At 37.3% G+C, this 25,170-nt stretch overlaps 1 protein-coding gene and 1 pseudogene across 9 annotated transcripts in view; one reads left to right on the top strand and one right to left on the bottom strand.

The window, feature by feature from the left end:
- Nucleotides 1–25,170, top strand: part of PTPRR (protein tyrosine phosphatase receptor type R) — a 282,666-nt gene that overhangs the window by 229,822 nt on the left and 27,674 nt on the right. For 7 of the 9 annotated variants that reach the window (XM_011538615.3, NM_001207016.1, NM_002849.4 and 4 more), the window contains 2 exons: nt 6,134–6,213; nt 6,653–6,790. In XM_011538615.3, coding sequence (XP_011536917.1) covers nt 6,134–6,213; nt 6,653–6,790 — 218 coding nt within the window. Of the gene's footprint in view, nt 1–6,133; nt 6,214–6,652; nt 6,791–17,940; nt 19,601–25,170 lie in introns of those variants that run through there. The other 2 variants (NR_073474.2, XM_047429234.1) reach the window with 2 other exon arrangements.
- FAHD2P1 (fumarylacetoacetate hydrolase domain containing 2 pseudogene 1) lies at nt 17,885–19,128 on the bottom strand (annotated as a pseudogene).

The following is a 25,170-nucleotide window of genomic DNA, read 5'->3' as shown; positions in this document are numbered from 1 at the left end:
CAAAAAGCTCAGAGTGTACCAGGTCAAAGAAATCATAAAGAGACGAATTAGTAATATTAATGTATGCAAATGATGGTAAAAATAATTTCCACATTTTCCGTAACACTTTAGTCCACAAAGAGTCTTTCAACTCTTGATGGAAAGTGATTTTAGAATTTAAGACAATGTTGCTAGCACTAAACGAATCTAACCAATATCAGATACTTGTGCTGTCAGTGAACAAACCGCTACATATGCTAACTAAAGACAGCTTCTTCCAAATAGTGAAAAAGACTTCTGTCCAGGCCATGTGTTTGTTGTAGGTCAGAAGAAAGGAAATCAGTGCAATAAGCAATTTAGGGCTATCCAGACTGAACTAATCACTGCGTGCATTCTAATGGCAATGTTATGGGGCCTGAGGGCTTAGTTTTAGACTAAAATGATGATTACCTTTTGTTATGTTGCTAAAACGTTATTTTTTATAGATCGTGATAATTATTGGACATGCGAACTCCAACTCTAAGAAACCCTGAATTTGACTTCTGAATATATACAAACCCCAGATGTTTGGGATGTACCTATTCTATTAATGCCTCCCTAGGCAGAACTGATTTTGTGATAATACTATTCTTTTCTGAAATATTTTTGCCAGAAAACTTATATATACTATTAACCACAACCCAAATAACAGTGGTTTAAATAATTTAAAAGTGTTTTTCCCTCTCAAGTATACCTGCCAGGGTTGATATGGCAGCTTTGCCATGTTATACCTCCAGACTAATCTCTCTGGTTACCTCGCCATCCCTAGGGTATTACCTTTGCATGGTCTAAGATCCTGATCACCATGACCACATCCCAGGCAGCAAGATGGAATCAGAAGTGGTAGAAGAAGAACATCACTCCTCACTTTAATTTCATGATCTAAAAGTCACGCGCATCACTTCCTCTCACCTGCTATAAGTGAAAACTTAGTCACATGGCCGCAACTAATGCAAGGGGTGGTAAGAAGGGAAGTCTTAAGCTGTGCATCCTACCAAGTTCTCAGCCAGAATTGGGATCTTATTGCTAAAGAAAGACAGGGATGGTGACTACTAGGAGACGACTAGCTCTTAAAGTACATATTTGGATATGCGTACTATTGTGTGCTCCAGCTATTGACAGCAAAAATGCCAGACAGCACGGAGCATGCTTGGCAAGAAGCTTTTAGGGCGCTGTATAGCCAAAGGCTCCCAGCAGGGAACCTCCTCCATGAGATTCTTGGTGGAGAGTGTGCAATAAATGTTGTTTGCTCCACTGTGGCTTCTCCTCCTTGTTTGTTATTTTGTGATCTGCCAAGAGTTTTGATCAATAGGATTGACGGAAGATACGTATAAACAATGGAATAATTTCACTCTCAATGTTAAAATTCAGCTCCACAGGTGTTCAAGACCCCTTGGAGGAAAAAGATAAGGTAACAAAAAGCAGTCTAGCAGAAGTCTTTCTACATTACAAAGGGTGTAATAGATTTTATGCAGACTGAGAGGTTTTACCAACAAGGGTAGATTTAGTTTTTTGGAAGGGAGGGGAGCTAAAGCTTATATTATTTGGAGATTACTCTTTAGGTTTTATTTTATTTTTAATTGAAAATAACAGTTGTATATATTTATGGGGTAAAATGTGATGTTTTGATACATGTATACATTGTGGAATGATCATATCATGCTAATATTAATGTATCCATTACCTCAAATATTTATTTATTTTTTGTGGTGAGAACATTTAAAATCCCATTATTTCAGCTATTTTGAAATATATAATATTATTATTAAACAATAGTCACCATGGTCTATAATAGATCGCCAGAACCTATTTCTCCTAACTGAAATTTTGTATCCTTTGACCACCATCTCCCCTTTCCCCATTCACCCACCCACCTAGCCTTTGGTAACCACCATTCTACTCTCTATTTCTATGAGTTCAACTTTTTTAGATTCCACACATAAAGAAGATCATGTCTCTCTGTGCCTGGCTTATTTCATTTAGCATAATATCTGTGAAGTCTATCTATGTTGTCACAAATGACAGAATTTCCTGCTTTTTAAAGGCCAGATAGAACTCCATTATGTATATAGACCATACTTTTAAAATCCATTCATCTGTTGATGGACACTCCAGTTGTTTTCAAACCTTGGCTATTGTAAATAGTGCTGCAAGAACATAGGAGTGCAGAAATGCCTTCAACATACTGACTTCAGTTCCTTTGGATATATACTCAGAAGTGGAATTGCTGGATCATATGGTAGTTCATTCATAGTTTTTGAGGAATCTCCATACTGTTTTCCAAAATGGCTATGCTAATTTACATTCTCACCAACAGCCTACCAGAGCTCCCTTTTCTTCACAACCTTGCCAACATTTATCTTTTATCTTTTTGATAATAGCCCTTCTAACAGGTATGAAGTGATACTGTGGTTTTAATTTGCATTTCTCTGATGATTTGAGATGTGGAACATTTTTTCGTAGATCTGTTGGACATTTGCATGTCTTGTTTTTAGAAATGTCTATTCAAATCTTTATCCCTTTTCTAATACGATTATTTTCTTGTTATTGAGTAGTTTGAGTTTCTGATATATTTTGGATATTAGCCCCTTCTTAAGGTATGATTTATAAATATTTTCTCCCAATCTGTGGATTTGCTGTGCAGAAGCTTTTTAGTTTGATGCAATCCCCTGTGTCTATTTTTGCTTTCATTGTGCTTTCAGGGTCATATCCAAGAAATTTTTGCCCACATCAATGTCATGGAACTTTGCCCTGGAAGACACTCTTAAAAAATGAATACAACATTATGAATACAAAATAAGATACAAGGTTCTTATTGAAAATGGCTCATGCAAGTGAGGGTCAGTCTGCCCCTGACCAACAATTGTAGGAAATGTAGAGATAGATCTGTTAAGACTGTATGAGATTTGGGGGAAAATGAAGTGCTTTTGAAAGTTTGGTGCTAGCTTCCATCTCCATAGGGTCTACATTTTGAAAGCTCTGAAGGACAAGACTGAGATTGGACTTATTTCCAGAATGCTTTAAAGAGGGTAGTTTGCTTCAGTACCAGTAGCCCCAACATATCTCTTGAGGAGGAATTTTGATAAGTTCAAAGCCCATGTCTCAAGAGATTTCCATGCTGATGAGCATAGGACCACAATTCCTTGTTCACAGTTAGGTTATATCCTGATTCGAACAGTCCTTACCTGTTCCACTGTAAGTTTCTCTGTAGTCACCCTACTTCCTTTAGGTCACCCAAAAGGACATGCTAGGATCTTTTGCAAAGTGTTTTGGTTCAAACTGAATGAAAGCCTGCCTCGATCAACAGGATTCTTGGATGCCACCTAAGGGTCTTCCCACTGATTTCCAGAATTTATTAACATCTTCTAGACATTGCTTCCATATGGCATGATCAGGAGCTATTTTACCTGTGGCCTATAAGATCAGATAAGCATCTTGGTCTTCACAAGTCAATCTAAAGCTTTAAGCAGAATGGGACTTTCTCCTGCCAAAGCCAGATCCCTTATAGCTCAAATCTACTTTATCCATCCTTGGATAGAAGCTCCTATTACTTGTTTTATTTATATATATAACATATATATAAAATATCTTTATTTCAAATATCCTAGTGACAAATTAGCAAAATTTTACTATATATTTTCAACATCATCTTTGATAATGGCCTTGTTAAATTCTAAGTTTGGTAATCTGGTTTCAACTCTCTGCTTCATTTCTTACTGTGTGACCTTGGGTGAGTTACTTAACCTCTCTGTGCTGCAATTTCCTAATCTAAATAAAGAGACTGTTAACAGTATGTACGTTATAGAATTGTAATAATTAAGTGACCTAATGAATAAAATGCTGTTACCTGCTCTACCTGACACATATAGGAGTCAACAATGAGTGCAATGACAATAACAGTGATCATGATATCACTCCAGAGTTTTGTGACTGACTCCTTATTGGTCCCTATATTACCTATTTATTGCTATGGAACAAATTACCCCAAAATTTAGTGGCTTAAAACAATACACATTTATATCTCACAATTTCTGTGTGCCGGGAATTGGGGAGTGGCTTAGTTGAGTGTCTGGCTCAAGGTCTTTCATGAGATTTCAATTGAGTTGTTGGCCAAGCCTTTGGTCAGCTGAACACTTGGCTGGCACTGAGGGATCTGCTTCTAAGAGGGCTCATTCATATGCTATCAGCTGGAGGCCTCAGTTCCCCACTATTTCTCTCTTCATTGGGCTGCTTGAGTGCCCTCAAAATATGGCCATTAGCTTCCTCCAGAGCAAGCAACTCAAGAAAGAGCGCAAGGAGGAAACTGTAATACCTTTTATGACCAAGTCACACACCATCCCTACTGCCATATTCTATTTAATTTCTGCCCACATTCAAGATGAGAGGAATTAGTCTCTACTACATTCTTTTAGAAGGAGTGTCAGATAATTGGATGACTACATTTTTAAACCATCACCGTCCTCATGGGCTGGTTAGCCTTTTTCTGAAACTAATTATGGCCTTTATTATCTTTAACCCCAGTTATATATAAAGTGAAATTTAAAACAAATGTTGGCTTGCCAAGTCCTGTTAAATTTTTAATTATTTTTAGCTCCCATTTAAATATATTCTATGAAACTTTCTTCGTCTAGTACTTCCTACCTCACCTCCTCTTTGTCTCAGTTTTCGTGGGGAACGTAAGAGATTGTGTTTACCCAGAAGATGTTCAATGATAGTGTGTTACTAAAAAAATATGGGAATGGGAGAAGTTTTTCTTTGCTGCACCCCTGTTTTTACACCACACTCCACTGAGAAAGGAAGCTGAAAAGCATTGAATTTGCTGTTTTTTAAGAAAGTAACTAAGCAACCACTAGGATATAACATTTTGTATTTTAATCGTCAGCTTACATAGCTATCTTCGCATGAGAGCTGCAGCACAGCGTAGTGGCTAATGGTACCCTAGTGTTCGTGTGGATTCAAAGCCTGACTCCATTACCTACTTCTTGGCTGTGTACCTTTGGGCAAATTATTTAACCTATCTTAGTTTCCTATCTGAAAAATGGGGAAGGAGTCTTACCCATTATCTTAGGTACTTTTATTAAAGTTACAAGAAAATTAAATGATATAATATCTGTAAAGCAATGAGAACAGACTCTGACATCTAATAAACAATAAATGTATGTTGTTTGTTATTTTATGAGCAGACTGAAAACTCACTGAAATGAATCATAGTTTTTTGTTTTGTTTTGTTTTGTTTCGTTTTTGTTTTTGAGACAGGCTCTCCCTCTGTTGTCCAGGCTGGAGTGCAGTGGCACAATCTCAGCTCACTGCAACCTTGGCCTTTCGGGTTCAAGCAATTCTCATGCCTCAGCCTCCCAAGTAGCTGGAACCACAGACATAAGCCACCATGCCTGGCTAATTTTTTTTTTTTTTTTTTTTTTTTTTTGAGATGAAGTCTCACTATGTTGCCTAGGCTTGAAGCCCCAGGCTCAAGGGATCCTCCTGCCTCAGCCTCCCAAAGTGCTGAGATTACAGTGTAAGCCACTGTGCCCAGCCTCGAAATGAATCATGTTTATCTTTATCTTTGCAACCTCCCTCTTCCCCTGGCTTGCCTATCCTCACACAGATAGCACGTAATAGATTATTAATCTCATCCATCTCGGAAGATCAGGAGATCTGGCCAGGACATAATGGTCAGACAAGGTGAGGTTCAGACCTGAGGGTCTAAATGAGATGAGATAGTAAAATATAAATAATTGGTAGAGTATAGCCTGATTTACCTCCATAGGGAAAGGAGAGAGATGGGAGTGAGGAGACCTGGTACAAATTCCAGATCAAAAGTATAAGAGTGGGCGCAAAAATGAGAAATGAGGTCGAGAACCGGAACAGATGAGAAATGGCCTGAAATATAAACTCATCAGCTTAGGCTTATGGATGAGCTTTATGTCAGGAGTGAAGACAGGCCCAAATGTCCCTCAATAAACATATGGATCAAGCAATGGACACCAAAGACAAACATTGACATGCACCAGATAATCAATACATAACAGGTTTCTACTTACTGGTTATTGGCATTCTAAGGAACTTTAAAAAGGGTAAATCTGTTTAATATATTCTTTTTTGTTTTCTTCATTAGATCCCCTCAGCAGAGTGTGTTTAAGACCAAAAAATGTAACCGATTCATTGAGCACCTACATTAATGCTAATTATATTAGGGTAAGTAAATAAGTACAAATTTCTTTCTGGTGACTTCCTATTTGGAATTGTTGGTTTTATTTTCTTTTTCCTAGAGTAGATTAAGCTTGGTTTAACTTGATTACCAGCAAGATTTCATTTTGTTTGGTTTTTTATCTTAGTCATAATCAACATTGTTAATGGGTCTTTTATGATGACTTTCCTTTCACTGTGAGTCTCTGGCAACAGTGCTCTATATGGGTACTCTGCTGGGGACTGGGCATTACAACCCTCAGTACCATGTGCTATCCTTAACTTGCTGCCAAAATACCCATGGAAATTGTTGTACTAGAGTCAGTGAAGCCGTAACCTGTGTTGCTTTTGTACTAGCCCAGCTATTTCGTTGAAGATCTTTCACCTACACTTTCACTGCAAGGCATGAACTTAAAAACCAATATTTTTGTTTCTTTACTCCATCTAGGGCTACAGTGGCAAGGAGAAAGCCTTCATTGCCACGCAGGGCCCCATGATCAACACCGTGGATGATTTCTGGCAGATGGTTTGGCAGGAAGACAGCCCTGTGATTGTTATGATCACAAAACTCAAAGAAAAAAATGAGGTATGATCTTTAATCAAGTTCTGAATGTTATATGTGTTCTGTTGCTATAGAAGAGATACTGTGTTAGTAAAATTGCCATGGACTTAGATTTAAGATGGAAACTCTGAGACATTTAAAGGCTAAGTCACTTAATACATCCCAAATATAATAAGTGCTATTATCCTATGAATGTCAACTTTCTTTCAGACAAGTCAATATACTTGGCATATACATATCTAATTTGTACCCACAAAAGAAATAAGGGGCCATGAATTATCACCCTAATTTATAAGCAGATAAATAAAACCTTATTCATTCACACCCAAGTCATTTTTGAACACCTACTATGTGACAGGTACTACTGTAGTCATTGGGGATACAATAGTAAACAAAACACACCAAGATCCCTGCCCTTGGTAGATTTTAACTTTCTAGTGGGAGAAGACAGACAAACAACACTACACATAATAAACTTATAAATAGTGTAATATATGAGAAGAGATTAAATGCTATAGGAAAGAAAGTAGAGCAGGCTAAGTGGAATGGGTATACCAGGCAGTAAGGAGGGGGTGATGGGGAATTGCAGATTACATTTAATAATGCAAAGAGGGTGGGCAAGGTGAGCCTCATTAAGAAAACGAGATTTGAGGACAGTTACAGAAACCAATCAACTTTCTCAATATCTTCATAATAAGAAATCCAAGAAAGACAGAATTTGATTTCATTTCCATACTAGTAGTCTTTTCTAAGGATTTAGCTTGCAGAATACTTATTCTGTATTTTGCATTATAAAAATACAATTGTAATATTCCTGAGGGCTGATATCCGAGGTACCGCTTTCATTTTAGGACAACTTACTGGGATTATTTACAGTCTAATTTTAATCAGCATTTCAGTGTTTGTTTTCTTGTCAAAAATATTGTACCAGAGCTTCACCATGACAGTAAGAATTTAAGAAAACTAAGCATTCCTTTATAAGCCTTTGGTGATTATAATCCTTGAGTACAGCATAATCCTGCTGCTAATGGACATCATCTAGGCTCACAAAACAGCAATTTATATGTGTTTTAAAGTTTGTGATTTTCTTATATTTTTGCTACAATAGATAAAACTTTTTTTCCTGAACTATATTCTGGAAAAATAGCATATTTTTGGCCAGTAGATAAGGTTATATACTCAATTCACTACATGGCTTACTAACTAAACACACTATATTCTGGAAAAATAGCATATTTTTGGCCAGTAGATAAGGTTATATACTCAATTCACTACATGGCTTACTAACTAAACACACTTCTATGAATCTGATATTAAAGCCTGAGGTGGCATTATAAAAATAACCCCTAATATTCTCAGCTGTTTCCCACACAGTGTCAATCTATCAACATATTAAGCCACTGACAATTCCTTCACAGTTGTTTAATATGCATGACATTTTTATGATAGAAAAGATTTTTCAAGTTTAAGAGGTGTATTCTCTGTATGTGTACATTTGTGCATTCCTACATAGAACTTATGTAATACAGCAGACTAGATAACCTGAAAAACCTCTCACTACAAAACCAGTTACACTGTGCAGAATATGAAACAGCATGCAAAGAAGAGCTTTGAAAAAAAGTAAAGGAAATCCCAGTGCTTAATAAAAAGAGACTAAAAGGCATAAAACCAGAAAATTAAACATATTGTAATGGTAATACAAGAACTGGAGACAAAGCCTGATCTTGCAGGAGCCAGGTGTTGGAACTGAGACCTTACATAAAGTGAGCACCTTCAAAGGTAACACCTCCAGTAAAAAAGTGAACAACGGCCGGGCGCGGTGGCTCACGCCTGTAATCCCAGCACTTTGGGAGGCCGAGGCGGGCGGATCACGAGGTCAGGAGATCGAGACCATCCTGGCTAACACGGTGAAACCCCGTCTCTACTAAAAATACAAAAAATTAGCCGGGCGTGGTGGCGGGCGCCTGTAGTCCCAGCTACTCGGGAGGCTGAGGCAGGAGAATGGCGTGAACCCGGGAGGCGGAGCTTGCAGTGAGCCGAGATCGCGCCACTGCACTCCAGCCTGGGCGACAGAGCGAGACTCCGTCTCAAAAAAAAAAAAAAAAAAAAAAAAAAAGTGAACAACAAAAATAAATCTGCCTACTAATATAGGATGATGCTAAGAAATTCGCCTAAGTCTGGCCTTCTTATGGTATAAACGAAAAGGCTCTCTTGAGTATTTAAAGCTGAGAAATCACAGAATTCAAAAATCAAGAAACACCAAGTGAAGTCATTAACATAAAAAGTAATACTAGGTTGGTAACGCCCTATGATACTTTACAGAAACGAAGGCAAAAACTTTCTGATGCACATACTCTCAGCATATACCTCACAGATTTCCATAGAAAAGCCCAGCCAGGGCAAAGCAAGAGAGCCGACTAGAGAAGCCGAATGCTCATACTTCCCACCAAAAAAAAGAGCCAAAACAACAAATAAGAAAGTATGTTTGAACTGGAGTGTTTGAGGGAGCACACTGGAATACAGTAGGAGAGAGACAGAAATCCTGTGAGACAAGGAGACCTTTAGTGAGGGTCACATAGAGAAGAGAATGAAGCACTCTGCCTCTGCCACACCGCCATCTCCCCAGCCAGTATTAGCTCAGAACAAGGAGATGCATCCCCAGTGGGGACTAGGCAAGCAAGAGGCCCCAGCAGCCCCCATTAATGTCACAGACATCTGCACTCTTTGTTGCTGAGAATCCTGCAGTTTCTACAGACCCTGAGTCCAGTTTAGGGAGCTGCCTGACAGCCACATGGCTGCAATGCCCCAGAGAAGGAGCCCACATTGTATCCCCTCATCCCTGTGATTCAAGCTGCAGCTATATGATGCCATTTTGAAACCAGAGCCACAACTAGAGTACATCCTGTTCCAGGGGCCAGTAGCCACCATCTCTTTTCATTCCTAAGGCTACACTGCCATTACACTACCTTCACACACAGTAGTACACCATTCCCTTGCTGAGTTGCTACAGCTCCCTACCCCCTGGGAACAAGCTCCTAGGAGGTGTTCCACCTTTCACATCCTAGTGACTGCAGCACCCTGAACCCTGTCTCTCAGAGCCTAGATCCAGTGCCCCATCCATGAAGCCCATATAGCACCTTGCCCTCAAAGGAACAGACAATCTTGATCAGCAGAGAAACCAAGTCCAAACTGGCCTCATGAGCAGTCAGCATGCTCACCAGCGAATGCACCATTCCAAAGCGAGTCCCACCCAAACCAGTGGACCAGCCCCTGCATGTCCCTGGTGCACTCAACAGTTGGGTGCACTACTTCTAAGGATGCCCCAACCTGAGCTGGCAGACCTGTCCGCATATACCACCAGTAAGCTCACCAGCTGGGCATGTCATTTTCAGGGGACTTCTGCTCTGAGTTGGCAAGCCAAGCCCCATGCTTGCCAGCCAAGTACACTGCCCCCAGAGAATCCCTAACCCAAGCTGGCAGACTGGCTGCTGCATGCTCACCAGCCATGTATGCATCTCACAGCGGGTCCCCACCTTAACCAGTGGATTTGTTCTTGTGCTCACCAGCCAAGTGTGCTGTTTCCAGGGGTGACCTGTCCTGAGCCAGCAAACTAGCCACACCAAGGCCTTCAGAGGTTATCAATAAAGTTGACTACAGCTTAAAAACCTGCAGAGACTACACTACTGCACACACATAGAGCAAAAGCCAATGTACCCTACCCAACCAATACCCTCAGACACATCTGCTGGTGAAAGTCATTCCCTTCAAAAGTCACTCCATAAAATTAAAAGAGTTGACCATTCCATCAGATGCACAAATATCAATACAGGGATACAAGATACATGAAAAAGCAAAGAAACATGACACCATCAAAGAAGCAGAAGAATCCTCCAGTAACTGACCCCTAAAGAAATGGAAATTTATAAATTGCCTGAAAAGGAATTTAAAATAATGACCTGAAGGAAATTATGAATTGTGGATGGGGGAAGGGAAAGTCTAGAATATTTGTATGTGACCAAAGTTAAGTTGTTATCAGCTTAAAATATTCTAAGTTCTTTTTACATAAGCCCCAGAATAACCACAAAGAAAAAAATTACAGCAGATACACAAATCAAAAAGAGAAATGAATCAAAGCTTATCACTATGGAAAACCACCAAGTCACAAAGGGAAACAATAAAAGTAGAAGAAAGAAACAAAGTATCTAGAAAACAGTTAACAAAATGGCAGGAGTAAGTTCTTACCTGTCAGTAATAATCTTGAATGGAAATAGATTAAATTTTCCAATTAAAAGATATAGAGTGGCCAAATGGGGGAAAGAAAAAAACGCAAGACTCACCTATATGACGTCTATAAGAAACTCACTTCACATGTAAAGACATATAGACTGAAAGTGAAGGGATGAAAAATTGATATCACTTGCAAATGGAAACTAAAAGAGACCAGGAGTAGCTTCACTTATACCAGATAAAATAGACTTCAAATCAAAAATCACAAAAAAGCACAAAGAAGATCATTATATAATGATACATGGGTTAATTCAACAAAAAAAAATTGTAAATATGTATGCACCTAACACTAGAGTACCCAAATATAAAGAGCAATTATTTATTAGATTAAAGAAAGAAATAGACTGCTATATAGTAATAATCATGAACTTCAACTTCAACACCCCACTCTCAGCAATGGACAGATCATCCAGACAGAAAATAAACAAACATTGGATTTAAACCACACAATAGACCAATTGGACCTAACAGATATTTACAGAATATTTCACCCAACAACTGCAGAATACACGTTTTTCTTAACAGCACAAGACAAGCCTTAACAAATTTTAAAAGATCAAAATCATTTTAAATATGTTTTCTGACCACAATGTTATAAAACTAGAAATCAACAACAGGAAGAAATTCAGAAACTTTACAAATATTGTTTAATGAAAATTAAACAATATGCTCCTAAACAACCAATGGATCAATGAAGACATTAAAAGGGACACTTAAAAATTCCTTGAGACAAATAGAAAGACAGCATATCAAAGTCTTTGGAATACAGAAAAAGCTGTTCTAAAAGAGAAGTTTATATCAATAAATGCTTACATTTGTTGAAATGTAAGTGAAAGATGATAACTTAATGACACACCTCAAGGAACTAGAAAAACAAGAACAGGCTGGGCAGCGTGGCTTACGCTTGTAATCCCAGCACTTTGGGAGGCCGAGGCAGGCAGATCACTTGAGGTCAGGAGTTCGAGACCAGCCTGGCCAACATGGTGAAACCCTGTCTCTACTAAAAATACAAAAATTAACTGGGCCTGGTGGTACACACCTGTAATCTCAGGTACTCGGGAGGCTGAGGCAAAAGAATCAATTGAACTAAGGAGACAGAGGTTGCAGTGAGCTGAGATCATGCCACTGCACTCCATCTTGGGCAGTTGGGAGACAGAGAGAGAGACTCCATCTCAAAAAATAAAAAAGGACAAGAACAAATTAAACCCAAAATTAGTAGAAGGAAGTAAATAAGAAAGATCAAAGCAGAAATAAATGAAATACAGACAGAAAAATACAAAACATCAATAAAAAGAAAAGATCATGTTTGAAAACATAAAACTGACAAAACTTTAGATGCCACAGAAATGCAAAGAATTATAAAAGACTATGGTGAACAATACTACACGAACAAATTGGATAATCTAAAAAAAAATGAATAAATTCCTGGACACATGCAACCTTCCAAGATTGAACAATGAAGAAATAGAAAATCTGAAAACGCTAATGAGTGAGGAAATTAAATCAGTAACAGAACCTATCCTGGCCGGGTGCTGTGGCTCACGCCTGTAACCCCAGCACTTTGGCAGGCCGAGGCAGCCAGATCACCTGAGGTTGGGAGTTCCACACCAGCCCAGCCAACATGGTGAAACCCTGTCTCTACTAAAAATACAAAAATTAGCTGGGCTTGGTGGTGCGTGCCTATAATCCCAGCTACCTGGGAAGCTGAGGCAGGAGAATCACTTGAACCCGGGACTGGGAGGTTGCAGTGAGCCAAGATCATGCCACTGTACTCCAGCCTGGGTGACAGAGTGCAACTCCATCTCAAAAAAAAAAGTATCCCATTGAAGACAAAACCCAGGACCTGATGGCTTCACCAATGAATTCTACCAAACATTTAAAGAATACCAATTCTCCTCAAACTATTCAAGAAAATTAAAGAGGAGAGAACATATCCAAACTCATTCTACAAGGCCAGCATTACCCTAGCACCCAAACCAGACAAGGACTCAACCAAAAAAGAAACTACAGGTCACTCTGATATACATGCAAAAATGCTCATAAAATATTAGTAAACCATTAGTAAAAATCAATAGCACATTAAAAACATCATCCGCTATGATCAAGGGAATTCATCCCAGGGATGCAAGAATGGTTCAGTTTACACAAACTAATAAATATGATACATCACGTTAACAGAATGAAGGATAAAATCCATATCATCATTTCAATAGACGAAGAAAAATAATTTGACAAAATTCATCCCTTCATGATAAGAACTGTCAACAAATTAGATACAGAAAGTATGTACCTCAACACTAAAAAGTCCATATATGACAAGCCCACAACAAACATCATATTGAATGTGGAAAAGTTGAAAGCTTTTCTCCTAAGATCTGGGATAAGGATATCCACTTTCACCACTTCTATTCAACATAGTACTGGGGGTCCTAGCCAGAGTAATCAGGCAAGAGAAAGAAATAAAAGGCAAAATCGGAAAGGAAGGCGTCAAACTATCCCTGCTTGCAGATCATATGATCATATATATGGAAAACCCTAAAGACTGCACCAAAACTTGTTAGAACTAATAGACAAATTTAGTAAAGTTCAAGGATACAGATTTAACATTCAAAAATCAGTAGCATTTGTATATGCTAATGGTGAGCTAGCTAAAAACAAAATCAAGAAAACAATTCCATTTACAATTGCTACCAATAAATAGAGATACCTAAAAATAAATCTAACCAAAGAGGTGAAATATCTTTTATACTGAAAACTATAAATCATTGATGAAGGAAATTGTAGAGAACACAAATAAACAGAAATATATCCTGTGTTCATGGAGTGGAATAATTAATATTGTTAAAATGTCCATACTACGCTAAACAATCAATAGATTCAATGCATTCCCTATCAAAATACCAATAACATTCTTCATGGAAAAAAATTTTTAATCCTAAAATTTGTATGAAGCGACAAAAGATCTTGACTAGCCAAATCATTCTTGAGACAAAAAAAAAAAAAAGCTGGAGGCATCATACTACCTGACTTCAAAATATACCCCAAAGTTACAGTATCGAAAGCAACATGATATTGGCAAAAAAAACAAATACATAGACCAATGGAATGGAATATGGAACATAGAGCCCAGAAATAAGAAAGGATTTTGAATATTCTCACTACAAACAACAAATAATAAATGTTTGCAGTGATGGATATACTGATTGCCTTTATTTGATCATTAACCCATATATACATGCACTGAAGTATCACATTAATATGAATATGTACAATTCTGTGTCAATTAAAATAAAATTAAAAAACTCTCAGCAAACATAAGCCTACAATCAAAATTATGAGGCATACAAGCAACCAATAAAAACCATGAGAAAAAATCAGAAGCAGCAACAATTAAATAGATTCACATAAATTAAAATAACTGAAATAATAAATGTAGGCTACTCTTTTAAATAATTAAGCACAAAAAGCATAAAAAATTTGACACAGGAACAAGTTACTATCCAAAAAGGCTATGAAGATTTAAAACAACAAATACTAGAAATAAACATTATAAAGACATTAAAGTTTAAAAAAATCTTATTAGATAGGTTTAGCATCAAACAAGACACAGCTAAATGAATAACTAATGGATTCAAATATAAAGCTAAGGAAAATACCTAGAAGATCAAAATGACAAAAAAATAAAAAAGAGTGTCTAAGAGACATAGAGGATAGTATTTGATATCCAATATACCATAACAGGTGTTTTAGAAGGAGAAAGAAGAGGATATGAGAAAAGAAGTAATATTTGAAGAAATAATAGATAGGGATTTTCCAAAACTGATGGAAGACTTGAGTTCAAAAATCTAAAAAGCACAATAAATCCTAGGCTGAATAGGTAAATGTAAATCACAGCTAGACACATCTCTGGAACTGAAAAAGCACCAAAGAAAGTAATTACTCCCACCAGAGTAACTAACCAAAAAAAAAAAGGCTTTTCTATAGCAAAACTAGAAGCCAAAAATCAGTAGAATATTACCTACAAAGAACTGAAAGAAAATACTTGACTACCCAGAACTTTATACCCAACAAATCTATCCTACAGGGCCAGGTGTGAAAGACATTTTCAAACTAACAAAAATGGTAAGAATTCACCACCAAAAAAAATCTTACCAAAACAACTACAAGGGAGGATAAAACAGAATGAAGAAGAATTCAATCCAGAAAAAAAGTACTCAAATACAAGAAATAATAGTGAGCAAAGAAAGTAAAATATGAAGGTGAAACTAAAATACTGGATAATGATAGTATTTAAAATTTGAGAAGATGAGGAAAGTTAAAATATTTCTGTGTTATTCACGAAAAGAGAAATATAAGCCAAGGTTAGACTTTTAGGTAAATATGCATGTTCAAATTTTAAGATTAGCCACTAAAAGGATGGAATTAGAATGTATAATTTCCAATCTGGTAGAAGAGAGAAAAGACAGAATTTCGAAAATAAACCAAAATAAAAGGGAAAACAAAAGGTAATATAGAAAAATCAGGATAAACTTTTACCTAATTGGGAGATAGAAAAAAATCCAAATCATACTAAATATAAACAAATAACTTGCAAATTAAATATCAGAGATTACCAAACTGATAAAATAAATAAATTCAGTTAAATGCTGCCTACAAGAGGACACAGAAATGTTAAAATGGAAAGGATGGAAAAAAATACACCAAACTAATACTAATCAAAAGTCAAGTTAGATAAAACTGACTCTCAAAAGAATAATTCTCAAAAGAATATTCTCAAAAGAATAATTACTAGAGAGGTTACCAGAGATAAAGAATGTCAGATGAAAATGAATTTCAAATCAAAACAATCATTATCAGAGAGCTTACTAGAGATAAGGAATGTCAATCTATAACACTAAAATGTGAAATTCACAAGTAAGATTCTAAATATATAAATGCATAATATACATAACCTCCCCCCAAATATCTGAAGCATTAATGGGCAGAATTAAAGAAGGAATTGATAAATCACCATCACACTGGGAGAAAACCCAATAAAAATCAGATATTAGTATTTATTAAGCAGACAAAAAATAAAAATATAGAAAAAGTTTATACATAACCTTTATTCAAATTAGCAAGCTTAGTTTAAGAAAGATATATAGAACCTTCCAATCAATAATCTCATAATATAAATTTTCAAAGCATGAGATTTTGTGAAAAGTGACCAACTACGACTATATAGCAAGTCTTGGCAAATTTCCAGGAATAACTGTACATATATGCTTCGATTACAGTGCATTAAGTTAGAAATAAAAAGCAGAAAGATAAGATTAAAAAATACACTTTGATGCTTAAAAAAAGTTTTAACACACACACAATTCATGGATGAAAATGAATTTATAATATAACTGTAAATTACCTGCAATTCAGGGATGATGCAAATACTACACATCAAATCTTGTGAGATGCTGCTAAAAATGCTCATAGAAGGAAGTTTATAGGCATGAATATGATATTATAAAAGAATTTGTGATCTAAGCAACAGACTTAAGTTAGTAAAAGAACTATAAAATGAACAGGAGAGAAAAAAGGAAGGAATAATGAAGAATAAATGTTAAACATAAAACAAAGATAAAAGGATTGATGAGGCCAGGCATGGTGGCTCATTTCTGTAATCCCAGCACTTTGGGAGGCTGAGTCAGGAAGATTGCTTGAGGCCAGGAGTTTGAGACCAGCCTAGACAATGTAATGAGACTTATATCTCAACAAAAAATTTAAAAATTAGCCAGGGGTGGTGGTGCGCACCTGTTGTCTTAGCTACTCAGAAGGCTGAGGCAAAAGGATCCCTGGAGCCCAGAAGATTGAGGTTGTGGTGAGTTATGATTGGGCTACTCTGCACTTCAGCCTGGCCAACAAAATGAGACCCTGCCTTAAAAAAAATTTTTAAAAAGGATTGATGTAAACAAAAGTCAATTTTTTGAAGTCTAATAAAATAGGCAAAACTAGCAGAATTAAAGGAAATGCAAAAAAAACCATTAAAAATGACTATAATTAAAGCAGAGATTTAAATAAAAGAGGACACTATGAACAACTTCATGCAATATTTAGCACCATTTCGTAGATCTGAGCAAAATGCCTTACCCCTGCCCACTTTGGTTTGAATTTTCTGAGTAAATTGTCATAAAATAAATATTATTTCAAAGTGCATTCATGCCCTTAAATATTTCTTATTATTTCTATTTCTTCTTCTATTACAAATAAAATCTTATAAAATCAACATAGCACCATAATTTATGAAACTATTTGTAAATATAAGTATGTAAATGTTTTAAAACAAATAATATTTTCCCCAGAAAAATTACTTACTTATTACATGCAATTTAGTGTTGCATATGTACTAAGGATTAACACTTGGCAAATGATATGTGAAACAATATCTCACAAGGATTACAGAATACATTGTAATAACTGTGTAAGATACATTACGGTGTTTGTTCTTTTGAGCATTTCAATCTTTGAATCTTGTAATGTATGTTTATCTGTGTTCACTCTTATAGAAAAAGTCAGGAATGTGCCTTTAGTGCTTTACCTCATTCTTGAATCAGGGTTTTAGCAGGACAGAAACTAAGATTGCTGGTTAGGCAGAAGACATTTCCTAGAGGGTGTGTAATATGTGACATATTTTAAAGAAATCCAATAGGGATGATGTGAGCAATTATTAATATGCCAAAGCCCCAGCAGACGGTTGCTCTCATCCTCCTTCTCCAAGACCAAGGATGTCATTGTACCAGAACTGCTGTATAAGTCAAATATATATTTCTTTCTTTCTTTCTTTTTTTTTTTTTTTTTTGCTTTGGCCCGACGTATTTATTGAAGAGAGCTCTATCCTTCTCCCTTCTACCTAGAAGAGGAGGCTTACAGGGCTGGCACCTGCCCACACCTGGCATTCGACATTTCCCTGGGCTAAGCTGAGTGGGAGCAGATGCCCCCATCCTATGACCAGGGCCTGTGCAGGAGCCATCACACCACCTTGCTGATGATGACACCTAGTTCTTCAATTTCACACTGGACTTCATCTCCCTTCTTGAGAAAGACAGAAGGTTTCCTGAATACACCAACACCTGGGGAGGTCCCAGTCAGGATGACATCCCCTGGGTAAAAGGTGACAAACTGGGAGACCCACGCTATCCGCTCCTCTGTCTTGACCACCATCTGGTTGGTGTTGTTGCTCTGGACCACTTCCCCATTCACTTGGCAGCAGGTCTTTAAGATGTGTGCATCTGCTACACTGTCCTTGGTCACCAAGGCAAGGCCCAGAGGGTAGAAGGTGTTGAAGGTTTTTCCCAGCAGCCACTGTTTCCCATCATGTCTCATTTGCCAGTCATGAGCACTCACGTTATGAGCCGCAGTGAAGCCAGCCACATGGGCCATGGCATCTGTGGCCTTGATGTGCTTGCCTTTCTTTCCAATGACCACAGCTGCTCCACTTCCCAGTCTACCTCCTGGCTCTCTGATGGGAGGACCATCTCATCATAGGGCTCCACAATGGAGTTGGCAAACTTGCTGAAGTTGATCGGTTCCGTGGGCACGGGCACATTCTGTTCTTTGCAGTGGTCCACATAATTCATGCCCACACACACCACCTTATCTGGCCATGTGGCTGGAGCCAGGGAGGTCACTTCCAACCATGGTAGGACTGGCAACTGGGCACCCAAGGCTCTTCTTGCCACTGAGAGGATGGCCTCTCCCTGCTCTAGGAACTGTGTCATCATTTTGGGGAGCATAGAGTCAAAGGCATTGAGGTTGATAACCCTTCCACCATTCTCCATCTCTGGGCCCAAGTGAGGCCCCACCAGGTGGGGTGCCTGGAACTGGACTAGTCTCATGTCTCTGGAGGGTTGAAAGGGCCACTTCTGAGCCTGCAGCAGAGCTGTGAGCAACCTTCTTCTACCAGAGACCAGCATCAGAGCCTGGCGGCGGTGGCTGGTCCTCCTGCGCTGGGTTAGTGCTTGTGGGGCCAGAGGTCAAGGACAGCAGGTGCCTGAGCACTGGCACCAATGACTGCAGCTAGCCGGGGAACTGCATGCAGCAGCCTCAAATATGTATTTCAGAGTGACACAGAGTTGGTTTACCTATGATGCTCAGAGCTCTCCATTCAGTATCTGCAAGGGAATAAAGCGTATCTTGTTCTTTCTTTCTCAAGTGCAGTAATTGTCCTCAGAGATAACCTGTTGTTACCATTCTCAGATTTCAGTCTTTACAGGAGAGCCAAATGGATCTGTGGAAAGCTAGAATTTTTTTTAACAATTCCTACACCAATGGGTGGTTGAAGTTTTAATTTTTTTCTTTGACCACATAATTCAGAAATTGGAGAAATGATTTTTGTTTGCGTGTTACAATTTTTAGCCTCCTGTCTTTTTTAATGTCTGAGATATACCTTCTGGGGATATCAAAGTCAAACATTTATGTTATATGTCTTTTATGTGTAATCTGCTTTGTGCTTTTTTTCCCTACAGCCAGTCATAATCCCAAATATTACAATAAAAATTTTGTTATTTTTTATTATTCATTACTCTTTAAAATAAAAATTTCTGTCTAGACTCTCCAAAGACGTAAATATAATACAATACAGGAAACGCTGATGTTTTACAGATCAAAATGATACTGAGAAGTCTGGCACAAAAGAAATACACAGTAGACTTCACACTACCAGGAAAATTCTGTTTACCAAAAATGTGCCAACTTTCAATTGTGTTAAGCGTCATTGTTTGGAAAAGACAAAAATCATTTCCTCCAAAAAACATATGGAGATGGAGTTATCTTTAGAAATTCCCAGGCTTTATAGTTTCATGCAACTTTCTACTTTCTAGCAAATAAATAAATGAATAATTGCCATCTCTTATTTAATAACTCCAATATTCTCATGACCTCAATGTTTATAAAATGAAAATAAATTAAAAATGAAAATATACATAGCTGAAAAAACAGTTAAGTTGCAATTAAAGAGATTTTATTGCTGGTAAGTTTGAGTTCCTTCATTTAGATAAATCTCAAGAGAAAGGGAATTCCTCTTCAGAGAAGGAAACATTGAAATGACAGTGTTCAAATTCCACTGCTAGAGAAGACATAGTGGCTTAAACCTATAAAGCTGGAACTGCAAGAGCAATCCAAAATGGCAAGTAGTTTTTGCACACTTCCAGCGAAACAAAGCCCCCATACTACTTCTGGAAGTTACTTACTGCATTTCTCTCCCCTTTCAGAAAAGAAGGGAAGTAGGTATACATGTTGACCATATTACATACACAGTGGAAGATGTTTTCTAGCCACTACCATTTATTGATCATATGTGCTAAGCACAATTTGAACACACATAAATTCAGTTTATTTTCCTCTAACTCTACAAAGTAGGTTTTACTATTCCTATATTATAAATGAGAAAACCAAAGCTCAGAGAGAATGAGAGCCTCAAAGTTAGTGAGTTGATGGAGTCCAAATTTCAATCCAGGCTTGTTTAATTCCAAAGCCCAGGCACTTAATCATTGCCCCAACATTATAAGGAGCCAAATAAAGAATTAAGACATTAGAAGGCAAGCAACCCACTTTTGGTCCCAAAGAGCAATAAGACCCTGAACCTATCTTTCATGAAGTGAAGGAATTACTGGATAATTTGGCCTAACACACTGCTCTCAGTTTAACACAGCTGTACTCTTTCTCTACATTTACATGCATCTTTCATCTGAGTTAAACTACTTGACTTAAGTACTCTAAGCCCCATTTTGCCCATTGACTTATTCAGTACTTTGCAAACGGTTCAATCTCAAAAAGCCACATAAGGAGCCATATATTAACTTTTTCCTTCTTTCATTCTCTTCCCTTTTCTATCTGCTAAAATTATAGAAAATATTCATTTTAATTACACATGTTTGGCCAGAAAGCTCATATGATACCTATGGGTCTGAAAAGTGAGTAGGTGCCCAAGGGGGAGACATTTAAAAGATGTTCCATTGTAATCCCAGCACTTCAGAAAACCAAGGTGAAAGGATCACTTGTGGCCAGGAATTCGAGACCAGCCTGGGCAACATAAGGATACCTTGTCTCTACAAATGAAATTTTTTTTTAATTAGCCATTGCCATGATAGGAATAAATAAACAAGCCAGGCATGGTGGTGTACAAATGTAGCCCCAGCTACTTGAAAGGCAGAGACCAGAGGATCGCTTGAGCCCAGGAGTTTGAGGATGCGGTAAGCTATGATCGTGCCACTGCACTCCAGCCTGGCTGACAGTGTGCAAGCTTGTGTGTGTGTGTGTGTGTGTGTGTGTGTATAACATATATATATATGGCTTGTGTGTATATATATAGCTTATATATATATATAGCTCGTATATATATACACACACACACATAGCTTGTGTGTATATATATATATATAAATAGCATATATATATAAAATAGCTTTGGAAGATATATTTAAGTGTTCCAGCAGTAGAAACCACAGTGCTTAGTTTCTCATCGAATGGGAGTAAGTGAGAGCTTGACTTCAGGACTTCTGGTTTGGGAGGTTGAGTGGATGTGATATCAGTTTCATCTTTAACCTGTTAAGTTTGATAAATGTTGGAGACTTCTGGCTGGTAAAGTCTTTTAAGTCTATTAAGCAGTTAGAAATAAGGGTACTCTGGAGAAATGCACAGGTGAGAGAGATCAGATGTCATGAGAAGGTACAGCATTGGTGTAAAGACAATAAAAGAGGGTATTGTATTATGATGTATATTCTGCTTTTAACATTATGAGTATTCTCCATGTCATTAATAATTCATCAAAATGTTAAATTACTAGAATTTCATTGTGTGGATGTGCTAAAATGTAATCATTTCCTTATTGATAGGTACTTAAATTGTTTCCAATTTATTGTCCACAAAAACCTTAAGACCTCATTAAGTCAAATTGCAGCTACCATATATGTCTTTGATTAATTAAATACATTCCAAGAAAGTTTTTTTGGAAATATAAATATTGACTAAGCAACTGAGCACAGCCCATGTTTGCCTTTACAAAAGAGTTTCTTTATTTAAATTTTTATTTTTAATTTTGTGGGTATGTAGTAAGTATACATTAATGGAGTACATTGCCTTAAATTTCATTATAAAATCAGATGTGCATTCATTCAGATAGAAAGATTGGCTACTCAATAGATATGTAAATTTTACTTTAAAATAAAGTGGACTTTATTAAACTATATGTTTGAGGAGAAAATAAATTATTCTGGTAAGATACTAATAAGAAAATGTTAAGTGTGCCATGTTAAATTCTAAATGCATAAAATGAAAATATATCTTCTCTATCATTTATAATTAGCTTAAAAAGTAGAGTAAAAGGTAATCTAGAAGGTTCAACAAATATACATGGAAAGCTCAGAAATTGGACTGTTGGATCTTCTGAAGAACAACTGTTTATGGAGCACTAACAGTGTGCTTGAAAATTAATCTTTATAGTAAACATATTTGTAAACCCCATTACAAATGAGAACACTGAGGCACAGGAAGGCAACTTGCCCAAAGCCAAACAGCTGACTCCCAAGCTGCTGCTGCTCCTCCTCCTCCTCCTCTTCCTCCTCTTCTTCATCCTTATCCTCCTCCTCCTCTTCCTTATCCTCCTCTCCTCCTCTTCCTTCTCTTCCTCCTCCTCACCATTACACTATGCTGCTGCCTGGAATCCACTTATGGTGGGAAAGGATAGTCTACAGTGCAAGAAGTGATTGCATCCAGAAAGTGGTATGTATGATTGCTTACATTCAAGGTTAGAAATCTATAACCATTCTCTTTTGGAAGAGGAGATAGACAAGACATTTTGATCAGGTTTTAAAAAAAACGTTGAATCTGTTTATTCAAACTAGTGGACAATTTTGAAAGTGTGGACTAGGATTATGAGGGAGAAGTCGTCCTCAATTTGCAGATCACTGTGGAGTAGACTAAAGGATTCATGCTTTGAAAATGAATGAAAAGAAACGAGCAAACCAAGTCCCACAACCAGAGGGTCTATCCAAACAAGGTCAGAGAAGGTATTATTGTGGGAGTCCAACCTAGCAAGCAAGCAGAAGAGAGTCCCTTTCTGGTATTCAGCTTTCCTTTGGAGGATCAGAATTAGATATTATGAATGCTGTCGCTGGTCAACTGGATTCATGAGCATAAATTGGAGTCACAAGATAAATTAGGATCTCATGCAGGACTTTGCTTATGAAACACGAATCCATTCAAGATAGATTCAACAGGAAGCAAAGAGACCAAAGCCACCACAAGCATGACCAAGGCCACCTAGCCTCTGACTTAGGGCCATCATGTTGGTGGAGAGGCAACCTGGCCACCACTGTCCAGCAGTGACAGGCAGCCTAATTTCATTTCATGGGTAACCAGGGGGTTGATGGGTATGCTGACCAAGCAATTAAGGGTGGCTAGAAATTCAGATGCTGACTGCGCCCAAACAAAATTACTCTCCTGTCCTTCCAGGCATGCATATATTCCAAATCTAACTTTGCACCTTAATGTTTAATCCACAGTGTTATGTTTAAACTGCATTAGCCTGCTTTACTTCCAACTATAGTTAGAAGCCCTCTTGTTTAACACAGTTAATCAGCCAGGCACGGTGGCTCATGCCTGCAATCCTAGCACTTTGGGAGGCCAAGGCAGGAGGATCACGACGTCAGGAGATCGAGACTATCCTGGCTAACACGGTGAAACTCCGTCTCTACTAAAAAATACAAAAAATTAGCCAGGCATGGTGGCGGGCGCCTGTAGTCCCAGCTACTCGGGAGGCTGAGGCAGGAGAATGGGGTGAACCTGGGAGGCGGAGCTTGCAGTGAGCCAAGATCGTGCCACTGCACTCCAGCCTGAGTGACAGAGCGAGACTCCGTCTCAAAAAAAAAAAAAAAAAAAAAAAAAAAAAAAAAAAAAACAGAAAAACACACAGTTAATCAAAAATGGTCAATGTGAGAATCATAAAAAAAGTATTTTATTTTAAAACATGTACATTTGTTCATATTCAAATGTGTTTGTTTATTATGGGGTTCAGTCTTATGAGTGTTGGTCTGAAGATGGAGTTCTAGATCATATAGTTTATGTCAATCACATTGTTTATATATTATCAAAATTTTCCATTTTAGTTTATTTAAAATGAAAGAGAAAATAGAAAAGCCTATGAAACAATATAAATGCAGTTTTCTATTTAGATTTTTTAACTTAGAGACAAATTTCTGTCATTGTCTCACCTGTCCCTGATTTGACTGTAGTTTTCTTTACTGGTTTACTTTTTTCACCAGTGAAAAACTTACGCAACTTATTCAATTATCTCATAAAGCTCTTTTCTCTTTTAAACCTCATATTTTATTGATTTCTGTAATATGTAATTAAATTACTGGACTTCAATAATAAGTACACCTGCCATAAAGGTGTTTTGGTATAAAAACAACTTGAGGAACACAGAGATCAAAAGATGGTAACAGAAGTACTGAGCTCAGTAGGAGAGTGAACCAAGACTATGCAAGGTTGCATGTGCCTCAACATATTTGACAGAGGGAACAGGTCATTGGTCAATGCTGTGGTTAAGTAGCATTGGTTAAGAGTCAGTGTGGAAATCAAAGATGGAAAGTTTCATTCATAAAGTGATATTTTCTTGGAAAATTCTAGCCCCCCAAGGCAATTTTCCCCTACCAAAACACCTGAGCCTTCATGTCCTCATCTGAAAAATAATTTAAATAATAATAATACCTGCTACCCACCCTACCTACTTCAAAGGATTGTGGAAGGGGCTAAATGATATGATGTTGGTGAAGGTACTTAAATCTCTGAGCCTATGTCAGTAATATTCCATCGGAGCACCAGGAATAAAAGTAGCTATAGTAATAATAATTTTAGACAACCTGACCCATTCTATCCCTCTCATGTATTAATATAACCCAAATGAAGCTAAGTATGAAGATTTTATTTACTTAGAGCCACATTCTATGTGATGATACAGATCTTTAGCTTATAGAGCAATATCTCTGATATTTAAATATATAGAAACTAAAAAGAAAATAACTTAAAAATAGGTTTTTTTTTTTCAGGCAACTAAACAACTAGCTAGACCGCCTCCTCACATAGCC

Source organism: Homo sapiens, chromosome 12 (genome assembly GCF_000001405.40).
Source record: "Homo sapiens chromosome 12, GRCh38.p14 Primary Assembly".
Classification (NCBI taxonomy): domain Eukaryota; kingdom Metazoa; phylum Chordata; class Mammalia; order Primates; family Hominidae; genus Homo; species Homo sapiens.
This window is presented reverse-complemented; position numbering and strand designations above follow the sequence as displayed.